This window comes from Homo sapiens, chromosome 20 (assembly GCF_000001405.40).
Source record: "Homo sapiens chromosome 20, GRCh38.p14 Primary Assembly".
In the NCBI taxonomy this organism is placed as follows: Eukaryota; Metazoa; Chordata; class Mammalia; order Primates; family Hominidae; genus Homo; species Homo sapiens.
In genome coordinates this window covers 61,935,804-61,949,297 of record NC_000020.11, presented here as the reverse complement: position 1 = coordinate 61,949,297, position 13,494 = coordinate 61,935,804, and the positions used below count along the sequence as shown (strand labels likewise).

Sequence of the window (13,494 nt, the reverse complement as noted above, 5' to 3'; positions counted from 1 at the left end):
GTAGTTAATGGCTTGCTTTTCTGGGCTGGTTAGTGTAGTTAATGGACTAGCTTCTCACATAGTTAGTGTTGATAATGGGCTGGTTGATAATGGGCTGATTAGTGTACTTAATGGGTTGTTTTCCTGGGCTGGTTAGTATAGTTAATGGACTAGTTTCCCACTGGCTTAGTGTTGATTAGGGCTGGTTTCCAGGGTAGTTAGTATAGTTAATAGGTTGTTTTTCTGGGCTGGTTAGTGTAGTTAGTGGACTACCTTCCCACCTGGTTAGTGTAGTTAATGGGTAGTTAATACCCCAGAGCTTCTGGAGGCTGGGCAGGTGCTGTCTTTCAGGAGGTGGTCATCAGGGCCCTGGGCAGCCGCTGAGCAAGGGTCCCCCATGCTTCTCAGTCCTGGAACCCAAACCCTCAGCTCCCACGGTGCAGAGAGTCACAGTGCTCCTCATCGTCAGTGAGACAGGGAGGCCACAGTACAGACAGTCGCAGTGCTCCTCGTCGTCGGTGAGAAGGGGCGGCCACGGTGCAGACAGTATCGGTGCTCCTCAGCATTGGTGAGAAGGCGCGGCCACGGTGTAGACAGTCTGAATGCTCCTCATTGTCAGTGAGAAGGGGCTCCCATGGTGCAGACAGCCGCGATGCTCCTCATCGTTGATGAGAAGGGGCGGCCACGGTGCAGACAGTCACAATGTTCCTCATCGTTGGGGAGAAGGGGCGGCCATGGTGCAGACAGCCGCGATGCTCTTCGTCGTTGGTGAGAAGGGGCGGCCACGGTGCAGACAGTCGCAGTGCTCCTCATCGTTGGTGAGAAGGGGCGGCCACGGTGCAGACAGTCACAGTGCTCCTCAGCATCGGTGAGAAGGGGCGGCCACGGTGCAGACAGTCACAATGTTCCTCATCGTTGGGGAGAAGGGGCGGCCATGGTGCAGACAGTCGCAGTGCTCCTCATCGTTGGTGAGAAGGGGTGGCCACGGTGCAGTCAGTCACAATGCTCCTCATCGTTGGTGAGAAGGGGCGGCCATGGTGCAGACAGTCACAATGTTCCTCATCGTTGGGGAGAAGGGGCGGCCATGGTGCAGACAGCCGCGATGCTCCTCGTCGTTGGTGAGAAGGGGCGGCCACGGTGCAGACAGTCGCAGTGCTCCTCATCGTTGGTGAGAAGGGGCGGCCACGGTGCAGACGGTCGCAGTGCTCCTCATCGTCAGTGAGAAGGGGCGGCCACGGTGCAGACAGTCGCAGTGCTCCTCATCGTTGGTGAGAAGGGGCGGCCACGGTGCAGACAGTCACAATGTTCCTCATCGTTGGGGAGAAGGGGCGGCCATGGTGCAGACAGCCGCGATGCTCCTCGTCTTTGGTGAGAAGGGGCGGCCACGGTGCAGACAGTCGCAGTGCTCCTCATCGGTGAGAAGGGGCGGCCATGGTGCAGACGGTCGTAGTGCTCCTCAGCATCAGTGAGAAGGGGCGGCCACGGTGCAGACGGTCGCAATGTTCCTCATCATCAGTCGGGGCGGCCACGGTGCAGACAGTCGCAGTGCTCCTCGTCGTCGGTGAGAAGGGGCTCCCATGGTCCAGACAGCTGCAATGCTCCTCATCGTTGGTGAGAAGGGGCGGCCACAGTGCAGTCAGTCTCAGTGCTCCTCAGCATCGGTGAGAAGGGGCAGCCAGGGTGCAGACAGTCGCAGTGCTCCTCGTCATCGGTGAGAAGGGGCGGCCACGGTGCAGACAGTCTCGGTGCTCCTCATCGTCGGTGAGAAGGGGTGGCCACGGTGCAGACGGTCGCAGTGCTCCTCGTCGTCGGTGAGAAGGGGCGGCCATGGTGCAGACAGTCGCAGTGCTCCTCGTCGTCAGTGAGAAGGGGCGGCCACGGTGCAGACAGTCGCAGTGCTCCTCGTCGTCGGTGAGAAGGGGCTCCCACGATCCAGACAGTCGCAGTGCTACTCATCGTCGGTGAGAAGGGGCGGCCATGGTGCAGACAGTCGCAGTGCTCCTCATCGTTGGTGAGAAGGGGCGGCCACGGTGCAGACAGTCGCAGTGCTCCTCGTCGTCAGTGAGAAGGGGCGGCCACGGTGCAGACAGTCGCAGTGCTCCTCGCCGTCGGTGAGAAGGGGCGGCCACGGTGCAGACAGTCGCAGTGCTCCTCGTCGTCAGTGAGAAGGGGCGGCCACGGTGCAGACAGTCGCAGTGCTCCTCGTCGTCGGTGAGAAGGGGCGGCCACGGTGCAGACGGTCGCAGTGCTCCTCATCGTCGGTGAGAAGGGGCTCCCACGATCCAGACAGTCGCAGTGCTACTCATCGTCGGTGAGAAGGGGCGGCCACGGTGCAGACAGTCCGAATGCTCCTCATCGTTGGTGAGAAGGGGCGGCCACGGTGCAGACAGTCGCAGTGCTCCTCATCGTCAGTGAGAAGGGGCGGCCACAGTGCAGACAGTCGCAGTGCTCCTCATCGGTGAGAAGGGGCGGCCACGGTGCAGACGGTCGCAGTGCTCCTCGTCGTTGGTGAGAAGGGGCGGCCACGGTGCAGACAGTCGCAGTGCTCCTCATCGGTGAGAAGGGGCGGCCACGGTGCAGACGGTCGTAGTGCTCCTCAGCATCAGTGAGAAGGGGCGGCCACGGTGCAGACCGTCGCAATGTTCCTCATCATCAGTCGGGGCGGGCACGGTGCAGACAGCTGCAATGCTCCTCATCATCGGTGAGAAGGGGCGGCCACGGTGCAGATGGTTGCAGTGCTCCTCAGCGTTGGTGAGAAGGGGCAGCCACGGTGCAGACAGTCGCAATGTTCCTTATCATCAGTCAGAAAGGGCGGCCACGGTGCAGACAGTCGCAGTGCTCCTCATCGTCAGTGAGAAGGGGCGGCCACGGTGCAGACAGTCGCAGTGCTCCTCGTCGTCGGTGAGAGGGGGCGGCCACGGTGCAGATGGTCGCAGTGCTCCTCGTCGTCGGTGAGAGGGGGCGGCCACGGTGCAGACAGTCGCAGTGCTCCTCGTCGTCGGTGAGAAGGGGCTCCCACGATCCAGACAGTCGCAGTGCAACTCATCGTCGGTGAGAAGGGGCGGCCATGGTGCAGACAGTCGCAGTGCTCCTCATCGTTGGTGAGAAGGGGCGGCCACGGTGCAGACAGTCGCAGTGCTCCTCGTCGTCAGTGAGAAGGGGCGGCCACGGTGCAGACAGTCGCAGTGCTCCTCGTCGTCGGTGAGAAGGGGCGGCCACGGTGCAGACGGTCGCAGTGCTCCTCATCGTCGGTGAGAAGGGGCTCCCACGATCCAGACAGTCGCAGTGCTACTCATCGTCGGTGAGAAGGGGCGGCCACGGTGCAGACAGTCGCAGTGCTCCTCATCGTCGGTGAGAAGGGGCGGCCACGGTGCAGACAGTCGCAGTGCTCCTCGTCGTCGGTGAGAAGGGGCGGCCACGGTGCAGACAGTCGCAGTGCTCCTCGTCGTCAGTGAGAAGGGGCGGCCATGGTGCAGACGGTCGCAGTGCTCTTCGTCGTCGGTGAGAAGGGGCGGCCACGGTGCAGACGGTCGCAGTGCTCCTCGTCATCGGTGAGAAGGGGCGGCCACGGTGCAGACAGTCTCGGTGCTCCTCAGCATCGGTGAGAAGGCGCGGCCACGGTGTAGACACTCTGAATGCTCCTCATTGTCAGTGAGAAGGGGCTCCCATGGTGCAGACAGTCACAGTGCTCCTCAGCATCGGTGAGAAGGGGCAGCCACGGGGCAGACAGTCTCAATGTTCCTCATCATCGGTGAGAAGGGGCGGCCACGGTGCAGATGGTTGCAGTGCTCCTCAGCGTTGGTGAGAAGGGGCAGCCACGGTGCAGACAGTCGCAATGTTCCTTATCATCAGTCAGAAAGGGCGGCCACGGTGCAGACAGTCGCAGTGCTCCTCATCGTCAGTGAGAAGGGGCGGCCACGGTGCAGACAGTCGCAGTGCTCCTCGTCGTCGGTGAGAGGGGGCGGCCACGGTGCAGATGGTCGCAGTGCTCCTCGTCGTCGGTGAGAAGGGGCGGCCACAGTGCAGACAGTCTCGGTGCTCCTCAGCATCGGTGAGAAGGCGTGGCCACGGTGTAGACACTCTGAATGCTCCTCATTGTCAGTGAGAAGGGGCTCCCATGGTGCAGACAGCCGCGATGCTCCTCATCGTTGGTGAGAAGGGGCGGCCACGGTGCAGACGGTCGCAGTGCTCCTCGTCGTCGGTGAGAAGGGGCGGCCACGGTGCATACAGTCGCAATGCTCCTCATCGTCGGTGAGAAGGGGCGGCCACGGTGCAGACAGTCGCAGTGCTCCTCATCGTTGGTGAGAAGGGGCGGCCACGGTGCATACAGTCGCAATGCTCCTCATCGTCAGTGAGAAGGGGCGGCCACGGTGCAGACGGTCGCAGTGCTCCTCGTCGTCGGTGAGAAGGGGCGGCCACGGTGCAGACAGTCGCAGTGCTCCTCATCGTCAGTGAGAAGGGGCGGCCACGGTGCAGATGGTCGCAGTGCTCCTCGTCGTCGGTGAGAAGGGGCGGCCACGGTGCAGACGGTCGCAGTGCTCCTCGTCGTCGGTGAGAGGGGGCGGCCACGGTGCAGACGGTCGCAGTGCTCCTCGTCGTCGGTGAGAAGGGGCGGCCACGGTGCATACAGTCGCAATGCTCATCGTCAGTGAGAAGGGGCGGCCACGGTGCAGACGGTCGCAGTGCTCCTCGTCGTCGGTGAGAAGGGGCGGCCACGGTGCAGACGGTCGCAGTGCTCCTCGTCGTCGGTGAGAAGGGGCGGCCACGGTGCAGACGGTCGCAGTGCTCCTCGTCGTCGGTGAGAAGGGGCGGCCACGGTGCAGACGGTCGCAGTGCTCCTCGTCGTCGGTGAGAAGGGGCGGCCACGGTGCAGACGGTCGCAGTGCTCCTCGTCGTCGGTGAGAAGGGGCGGCCACGGTGCATACAGTCGCAATGCTCCTCATCGTCAGTGAGAAGGGGCGGCCACGGTGCAGACGGTCGCAGTGCTCCTCGTCGTCGGTGAGAAGGGGCGGCCACGGTGCAGACGGTCGCAGTGCTCCTCGTCGTCGGTGAGAGGGGGCGGCCACGGTGCATACAGTCGCAATGCTCCTCATCGTCAGTGAGAAGGGGCGGCCACGGGGCAGACGGTCGCAGTGCTCCTCGTCGTCGGTGAGAAGGGGCGGCCACGGTGCATCGTCAGTGAGAAGGGGCGGCCACGGTGCAGACGGTCGCAGTGCTCCTCGTCGTCGGTGAGAAGGGGCGGCCACGGTGCAGACGGTCGCAGTGCTCCTCGTCGTCGGTGAGAAGGGGCGGCCACGGTGCAGACGGTCGCAGTGCTCCTCGTCGTCGGTGAGAAGGGGCGGCCACGGTGCAGACGGTCGCAGTGCTCCTCGTCGTCGGTGAGAAGGGGCGGCCACGGTGCATACAGTCGCAATGCTCCTCATCGTCAGTGAGAAGGGGCGGCCACGGGGCAGACGGTCGCAGTGCTCCTCGTTGTCGGTGAGAAGGGGCGGCCACGGTGCAGACGGTCGCAGTGCTCCTCGTCGTCGGTGAGAGGGGGCGGCCACGGTGCAGACGGTCGCAGTGCTCCTCGTGGTCGGTGAGAGGGGGCGGCCACGGTGCAGACGGTCGCAGTGCTCCTCGTCGTCGGTGAGAAGGGGCGGCCACGGTGCAGACGGTCGCAGTGCTCCTCGTCGTCGGTGAGAGGGGGCGGCCACGGTGCAGACGGTCGCAGTGCTCCTCGTGGTCGGTGAGAGGGGGCGGCCACGGTGCAGACGGTCGCAGTGCTCCTCGTCGTCGGTGAGAGGGGGCGGCCACGGTGCAGACGGTCGCAGTGCTCCTCGTCGTCGGTGAGAGGGGGCGGCCACGGTGCAGAGGGTCGCAGTGCTCCTCGTCGTCGGTGAGAGGGGGCGGCCACGGTGCAGACGGTCGCAGTGCTCCTCGTCGTCGGTGAGAGGGGGCGGCCACGGTGCCGACGGTCGCAGTGCTCCTCGTCGTCGGTGAGAGGGGGCGGCCACGGTGCAGACGGTCGCAGTGCTCCTCGTGGTCGGTGAGAGGGGGCGGCCACGGTGCAGACGGTCGCAGTGCTCCTCGTCGTCGGTGAGAGGGGGCGGCCACGGTGCAGACGGTCGCAGTGCTCCTCGTCGTCGGTGAGAGGGGGCGGCCACGGTGCAGACGGTCGCAGTGCTCCTCGTCGTCGGTGAGAGGGGGCGGCCACGGTGCAGACGGTCGCAGTGCTCCTCGTGGTCGGTGAGAGGGGGCGGCCACGGTGCAGACGGTCGCAGTGCTCCTCGTGGTCGGTGAGAAGGGGCGGCCATGGTGCAGACAGTCGCAGTGCTCCTCATTGCTGGTGAGACGGAGCGGGACTGCTCCCCTGACCTTGGATGCTCCTGAGCTGGGCTGCCCAGAGGGAGGCACCTGAGGTCCCCTCTCCTAGGGGAGAGGGGACTCATGGTGGCTGCGTGCCGGACCAGAAGCCTGTCCGGTATCTGGGTCTCTTCCCCCGTACCTCAGCCCTTGCTCCTCCAGCCCCCTGTCTCCATCGCCTCTCCCAGGCCGTCCCTGCCAGCAGCTTTGGTCGCCAGCAGCTTTGGTCACCCTTCCTGGCCCTCCCCCATGTGTTGACCTGTCTGGAGCCCCTCCCCCCACCATATGGAGGCAGAACTGAGGAGGGGACATGTTTGTTGCAGGGTCCCGTGCCTGGTACAGGGTTATGCTGAGTGTCACCCCCAACCCCCAGCACCACCCTTGTTTTTACAGGGGAGGCAGTGGAGGGCTTCGCAGAGCATCTTCCCTGCTGAGGAGGGTGGGCTGGGCTGGGCCTGGCTTCAGGCGTCGGAGAGCTGGGGCAGTCAAGTCTATGTCTCTAAGGAGCCCCCCAGTGACTTTGAGGCCAGAGCTCTGTGGGGTGAGGGAGATGCCTGGGCTATTCTGCTGGTTCTGTGTCCTGGGAGGCCCCCAGGGACACAGGGAGGCCTGAGTTCAAACCCCGCTTGCAGTGGGCGACTGCCCCTCTCTGAGCCTCAGTTTCCTCATCTGTAAAGTGGGGGTGACCATAGCCTTTCCACGGCAGGTTCTGTGGGACCCAGAGTAAGGCCTTGGGAAAGGTGGCATTGTCTGTGCCTGTCCTCTCCATCCGAGGGGGCTCCCTGGGCACGGTGGATGGGCATGGAGTGCCCGTGAGCCTCTGTGTAGGAGCCTGGTCCACAGGGCATTGCGCTGGGGAAGCCTCCAGAGCTCACGTCCCCTCCCCTACAGAGGACTAGGCCTGAACATGGCCCCCAGAGCTGCCCTTTGGGGACCAGCGGTGATGGCCTCAGCTGGAAGGGCCTGGGGAATGCTGGACCACATGCCTGCAGAAGGCCCAGCTCACTGCCAAGGTGAGCCCCACTGAGGGGTACAGCACTGCTGCATGGCCTGTGCCGACCCTGCGGGGCCACTGAGATGGTGTGCCACCGTCCCCTGGCACCCAGGCCTCCAGCAGGGCACCTCTGGCTGCAGTGGTGACCAGCCTCCTGCCTGGCCATCCCAGGAGGCCCGGCCCAGGGACTTGAGCCGCCTCATGCCCCCCGCCTAGGATAAGGCAGTGACAGGAAAGAGGGAAGCAGGAAGCGTGGAGAGGACAGGAGGCACGGAGGGCAGAGGGTGGGAGAGGCACCTTCAGAGGCCCAGCTGGTGTCACCACTGCAGGAGAGCCTCCACCTGAGACTGGGGAAATGAAGTGGGGAGGGAGTGATGCATGCAACACCTGGCATCCGTGAGTGGGGCTCCGGGGCTTGGTGGTTTTATCTGCTGATGTCGGCTGTGGCTGCGGAGGGTTTGCATCCAAACATGTCGGTGGCCAGAGGCCTGTCTCAGTGCATGTGCTGCCTATGTTTGCAAGTATGTGAACGAATGTGTGTGTGTGCACACGTGCATTGCATGCATGTGCATATACACGTGGGTATGCATGTGTGCTCATGTGTATGCAAGCATATACATGTGTGCACGTGTCCGCTTGCTGGCACTTCAGCCCATTTGACTGTGCCCCCACCACAGGGGGAGGAGTCTACAGGGCTGGGGGCCATGTGCTCGCCCCTCCAGACACCTCTGGGCACCAGGACCCTGAAACTCCTCACAAAGTGCCTTGAGCCCCCTCTCTGGTCTGCTTAGGCCTCTCCTGCATTTTCACCAGGTGGACCTGTCCCGAGGCCCAAGGGATACTGTTTGTTGGGGGCTTAGGTGAAGCCTGGGGCATCCAAATGCCTACACGCAGGCCCCCTGGGGCACTGGGCAAAGCCGGAGGTGGGAAGAGACGGAGGTGGGAAGAGCCACAGGCCCAGGCCAGCTCCTTCCTTGCTGCCACTTTTGGCACCACACTCCAAGGAGTCTGATAATTCCAAATTGGCCCGGGCATTCCATGGAGTCCGGGAGGTGTATATGCCAAGGTAGGAGGGGAATGTGATTTTGCTTGTTAGTTTCATGGATACCTTCTAAACCCTTTAAAACATTGAGACAGATGGCATGTGGGCCCACAGGTGTGAGGAGCGGGCCTGGCTTTGTTCTTTCTGTTTTCCCGCAGCCTAGGACAGCGCCTTGAGCTGCACAGGTGTTCAAGAAGTGTGTTCAGCATGCATGGAGCTCATGGTGGCCGCCACCTCCCCCGTGTGCACCCACCTGCTGTCCCGGAGCACCATCTGTTTCTCGAATGCTTGGAAGAAAATCAAGCCAGGACGATGCCGACTACGGAAAAGGGGGACTTTATTCATTCTCTGGAGCAGCGCGCCCCGCCTGCCCGCGCACAACCGCTCCGCAAGGGTCTACTGAGTTCAGGACCAAGACTGTCTGGCACTGGAAACACACTGAAAACATCAACTCTCTTCCCTTTTTTTTTCCTTTTTTTTTTTGGTACAAAATGATACAAACAACAATACAAAATAGTTGTGCTGTTGACGATTACAAAAAAAGGTGGAACGTTTAACCTCGCGATGCTCAGATTTGCAGGTGTGAGTACATCATACTCCAGTATCTTTCCCCAAAACAACTGTGCTCATGCAGGCTGCTACACATTTTGCCCATTTCAAAAAGAAACATGCAAAAAAAATCGGAATGAAAAAAGGAGAGAAAAGAAAAGTAAAACGCATTCCAATTGTACAGAGAGGTGGTCCCCCGCTGGGCCTGTTGTGAGGTACTGTCCCTCCTACGGACCCACGGCGCCACGAGCTGGGTCACGTGTGTCTGGGAGATTCTGTGTTGATTCTTTTGGTGTTATTCCTTTGAGCACTGACAGAAATTGAGACTACCCCTCGCCCAGCTTTTTGCTTTGGAGAGAACAGAATTATCATCTCAGTGGACTGTGTGTGTCGGCTGGTGCTCATGCTAGGGAAACTGAGGCATCTCTGAGAGCCTGACAGTTGGACATTGCTCTGACACGTTGGTGGCAGGAGGCCTAGCATTTTGGATGTGCTGAAAGACACTACAAAGAGAAACCTGCTGGGCCAGAAATTGGGGCTGCCCAGGCCCTGAAGAGGACTGTGGCCCTAGGCTGGGGGCTGCCTGCTGACCAAGGCCAGTCGTTCCTGCCACTCCAACCTGCAGCACAGGTTTCTCCTGTTTGCAAAACAAAAATTCCCTAAAGGAACCAAACCATGCCCTCGCACCTGGCCAGCATTGGCCTCCCGGCCTCCAGTGGGAGTCCCCTGATTATAGGCAGTCGTATCTACAAGCTTAAGGAAGAGAGACGTTCGACACTGATTGTATGCTTAGCTAACGCTAACTCAAGTTCAGAGGTGGAGCTGGGAAGGTGCAGGAACCCCATCTTTCTCTGGCCCCCAGGGGCTCACCAGGGTGGGGGTAGAGGGGAAGCTGTCCAGCTGTTTGGAGCAGGGATGGGCACAGGAAGCCCTATGAACATCCCTCCAGCTGGCACTGCAGCTTCCGCCTGCGTGATTTGGGCAAAAGGAACGGGGGCTTGGCAGTGACAAGAGGCTGTGGGCGAGGAGGGGGAGCTAGTGGGAGGCGGCCAATGTCGCCCAGCCCTCCTGGGTAGCGGCGGCTGCTGGCGGGACTGGGGTCTCCTGGTGCTGGGTCCTGGGAACATCAGCCCGGAGTTCAGGGAACCCAAGGAGGCCTCGAAATTTCAGAGAAAGGAGTTCATGCTGCCCTGGCTCCCGGGCCATAGTCACACTTCGAACAATCCACGCATACTCCGAAGGACTGAAGCATGGACTTCCCCAAACAACAACAGAGATTTCCAGTCCTTCCACTACCCGCCCAGCTATACCTCCAACGGCCATGCCCCCCCACACAGGAGCATTCTTGTTTGCATAGCACAGCTCAGAACTCGGGGACCCCGGTGCGGCCTGGCCAGCTGCCCCTTGACCTCTGTTGGTCCATCTCCTGGACTGGCTGTCTGCAGAGGGGGGCACCCAGCACGTGGCACAGTGAACCCCGCCCTCCCTGGGCAGCCATGGGAGGGTCAGAAAGGACAGGTTGGAGACTGAGACCCCAGCTCAACTCTGAAGGCTGCACAGGGGCAGCTGTGAGTTTGGTTTGGACAAGGACCCTGACATCCAACGGGAACATGCCGTGAGCCTGGCACAGATGTGTGCACTCAAGGCCAAAGCTGTTCAGAAAAGGCATGACCTTAGCCATGGGGAAGGGCCATAGGCTGAGGTGGGGGCCGGGGCCCCTGGTGGAGCTCATGCTGCCCCCAAAGGCACCCCGAGACACTCCCTGACCCCAGTGGCAGGTGCAGGGTGGGGCTCCGGGAGGGCTCCCTGTCCTTCCCCAGTGCTGGCACCGCCCTGCCCGACACCAGGTCCTGCCCAGGGTCCCTGGTACCTCACCTCCTTCCTCGGGAAGCCAGTTGTCACTGGCCTGGGAGAGACAGAAAGCTGACCAAGCACGAGGCTTCCCCACGTGGGGCCTGCCCCCTGCCGCAGCCCAAGGCGCCCAGACACAGCCATGCCAGAGGGAGAATGCACCCTCTGAGTTTTCTCATGCAGTGAGCACAGGCAGCCGAGCGCTGTCCCAGGGGTGCCGGGACACAGACCCTCTCACTGTCCTGCAGAACCAATTCCTTCCCCCTGTCTGGCTTGAGTCAACCCAGCCCTGGAGATAGCAGTGCCAGCCTCGAGGACAGCAGCAAGTTTGGACCCGGCCGCTGCCTGCCCCCGACGAGGGTCCATAGGAGAGGAGAGGCACCGTCTGCAGCGTGCAGAGGCATCTGTGCGACAGGTAGGCACGGCAAGACGGGGCCTCCTGCCACCCACACAGGCTCACAAGCGTCTGGCGGGAATCAGGAGCACAGGCTGGGGACGGGGAGGCTTCGCAGGCTGCTGGGTGTGTTCTGGTCACCACGCCCAACCGTAACTGCCCTCTTCAGCTGCCAGGGAGGGTCCTTGGTTCCTGCCATCTGCACAGCCCTCCGGATGGTTGGAGCTGTCGAGAGTGTCCTGGGGTTTGAATTGATGCCTGTCGCGGGGCCGTTGATGGCACCCCATGGGGTCTGGTCGCCAGGGTTGGAGGGCTGGAGCCAGATGCTGGCTGGTTTGGACAACTCACTCTTCTGGACCAAAGGCAGAGGGGACCTGGTGGCACTCAGGGTGACAGGTGTCCCTGAGGGAGGCCTGGGTTGACTGGGGGTGGAGCCCCTTCAGGATGACCCCTGTTCCCCTCCAGGCCCCTGCCTGAGCTCCTCACAGCATCCGGGAGGGGTGGGGAGCAGCCACAAGGTAGGGGTATTCTGAGCCCCACCAGCCCCAGGGCCTTCTGCTGGGGCTGAAGGGCTAAGCCTCCCAGCTGGCCTTGACTCCCAAGAGGCTCAAGAGACCCCCAGCTGTGTACAGCAAAGGCTGCTGGGATTTGAACCCCACTCTGTTTTCAAACAAGTCACCCACTTTCTTTTTCTTAATAAAAGACCAAAAAAAAAGTAAGAAAGACAGACACAGTCTCCCCCATTTCTGAATGATGCCTTCAGAGCTGGGACTAGCTGGGGTTGGAGGCCGCTCGGGATGGGAAGGTGGGGACGGTCTGTCTGCTTTAGACACTCCTGAGTTTGAGGGAATCTGATACATGTACCAAAAGGCACTTTCTTTTTTTTTTTTTTTTCTTTCTTTCTTCTTTTTTTTTTTTTTTTTTTAAAAACAGTGCTTCTGTTCTAGGAAATTCAAGTGAAGACAGAGTGCCTCTTGCTGTCCTTCAGTGCCAGCCAGCGCGGTGCTGGGCAGCGGCCGGGTGCAGGGCGCTGTGGGGGTGGGTGCTCATGCTAGACAGCTCAACGTGGGGATTGGGGGGCCTCCTAACAGCACTAAGGACACAGCCGCAGGGAGTCGGGAAGACCGGCCGCCTCTGCTCAGTCCTGCTCCTCCGGCGTCCGAGCACGGCTCTCACTTCGGTCCGAAGATGCGAGGTCAGTCAATCCTCTTCACCACCTCCATACATGTCCGCCAGCTTCTTGAATCTGGGCCCCCAGTCGTTGAGGTAATCGTAGTCTTGGTCCCCGGAACTGGATGAGTTCAGGGAGCTGACGGAGCCTGCGGTGGAGCCGCTCCCCTCGTAGTCGAAGACCAGCAGGGAGTCATAGGGGGGTGCCGTGGGGTCGTTGTCAGCAGCGCGGAGTCCCTGGGGGTCACAGACACAGAGTTAGGGTGCAGGACGCGTTGTCTCAGCCCCGGGATCAGATGGAACGGAAAGCGAGGCCCAGAAGAAGAGGTAGGGAGGTAGGACGTTGCATAAAGTAGGTGTCCAATAAGGGCTCTCTGCATTTAACTGAAGGGCATTTCCGAGTAGAAAAGGGCATTTGTGAAGATGGAGCGTGGGAGTGTTGAAGGGGCAAACTCAAATCCAGCAGCAGTCTGTGGGCAGGGGAGGCGGAGGGTTGGGCAGGGCCCGTGGCTGGAGTTCAGCTCCTCCCAACCCAAGGGCAGATGGGGGGGGGGGTGTGGGAGAGGGGGGAGGGGGTGTGGGGGAGGGGGTGTGGGGGAAGGGGAGGGGGTGTGGGGAAGGGGTGTGGGGGAAGGTGGAGGTGTGGGAGAGGGTGGGGGGCTGTGAGGGTTTATAGGGGAAGGGCAGGGGGGTGTGGGAGAGGGCAAGGGGTGGTGTGGGGGAGGTGAGGGCTGGGCCATGTGGCTGAAGCTCAGCTCCTCCCTAAGGGGGCAGGCAGATGGTTCTCCAGTCTAGCTGACCATTGTCTGGAGGGAAAGTGGACCTAGGGTGGACAGAAGTCAGAACCTGGCAGTTATGAGTGTGGCACTCCCACGGACAAGCTTTGGCAGTGCCGTGGGTGTTGCTGGAGCCCCGTCCTCTCCTCAGTGCCCGCGGGTGCCACCTCCATGCCAGCACCTGCTCCTCCTGTGACCCTGGGAGAGGGTACTCAGTGTCATTCAGTATGGACTGGTTTGTTGTTTTCATTTTTAATTTCTCCTAAGACCTATCTAACAGTGGGCTTTATTTATTTATTTTTAGATTTTTCTGAAATGGAGTTTTGCTCTGTCTTGCAGGCTGGAGTACAGTGGTGCGACCTTGGCTCACTGTAACCTCTGCCTCCCACGTTCA

The 13,494-nt window shown here is 61.3% G+C and overlaps 1 protein-coding gene across 5 annotated transcripts in view, besides 1 other annotated feature; it reads right to left on the bottom strand.

Annotated features, from left to right (window-relative positions):
* Positions 236-735: an enhancer, noted in NCBI's record as "H3K4me1 hESC enhancer chr20:60523619-60524118 (GRCh37/hg19 assembly coordinates)". NCBI's record gives its function as "activates a minimal SCP1, AML or CMV promoter by ChIP-STARR-seq in naive H9 embryonic stem cells {active_cell/tissue: H9 hESC(naive)}" and the evidence as "EXISTENCE:reporter gene assay evidence [ECO:0000049][PMID:30033119]".
* The window catches only part of CDH4 (cadherin 4), a 688,357-nt gene continuing 683,543 nt past the window's right edge, over positions 8,681-13,494 (bottom strand). For all 5 annotated transcript variants that reach the window (NM_001794.5, XM_047439812.1, XM_047439813.1 and 2 more), the window contains one exon: positions 8,681-12,561. In NM_001794.5, the coding sequence (NP_001785.2) occupies positions 12,355-12,561 (207 nt within the window). In that variant the 3' untranslated portion in view covers positions 8,681-12,354. The remainder of the gene's footprint in view (positions 12,562-13,494) is intronic.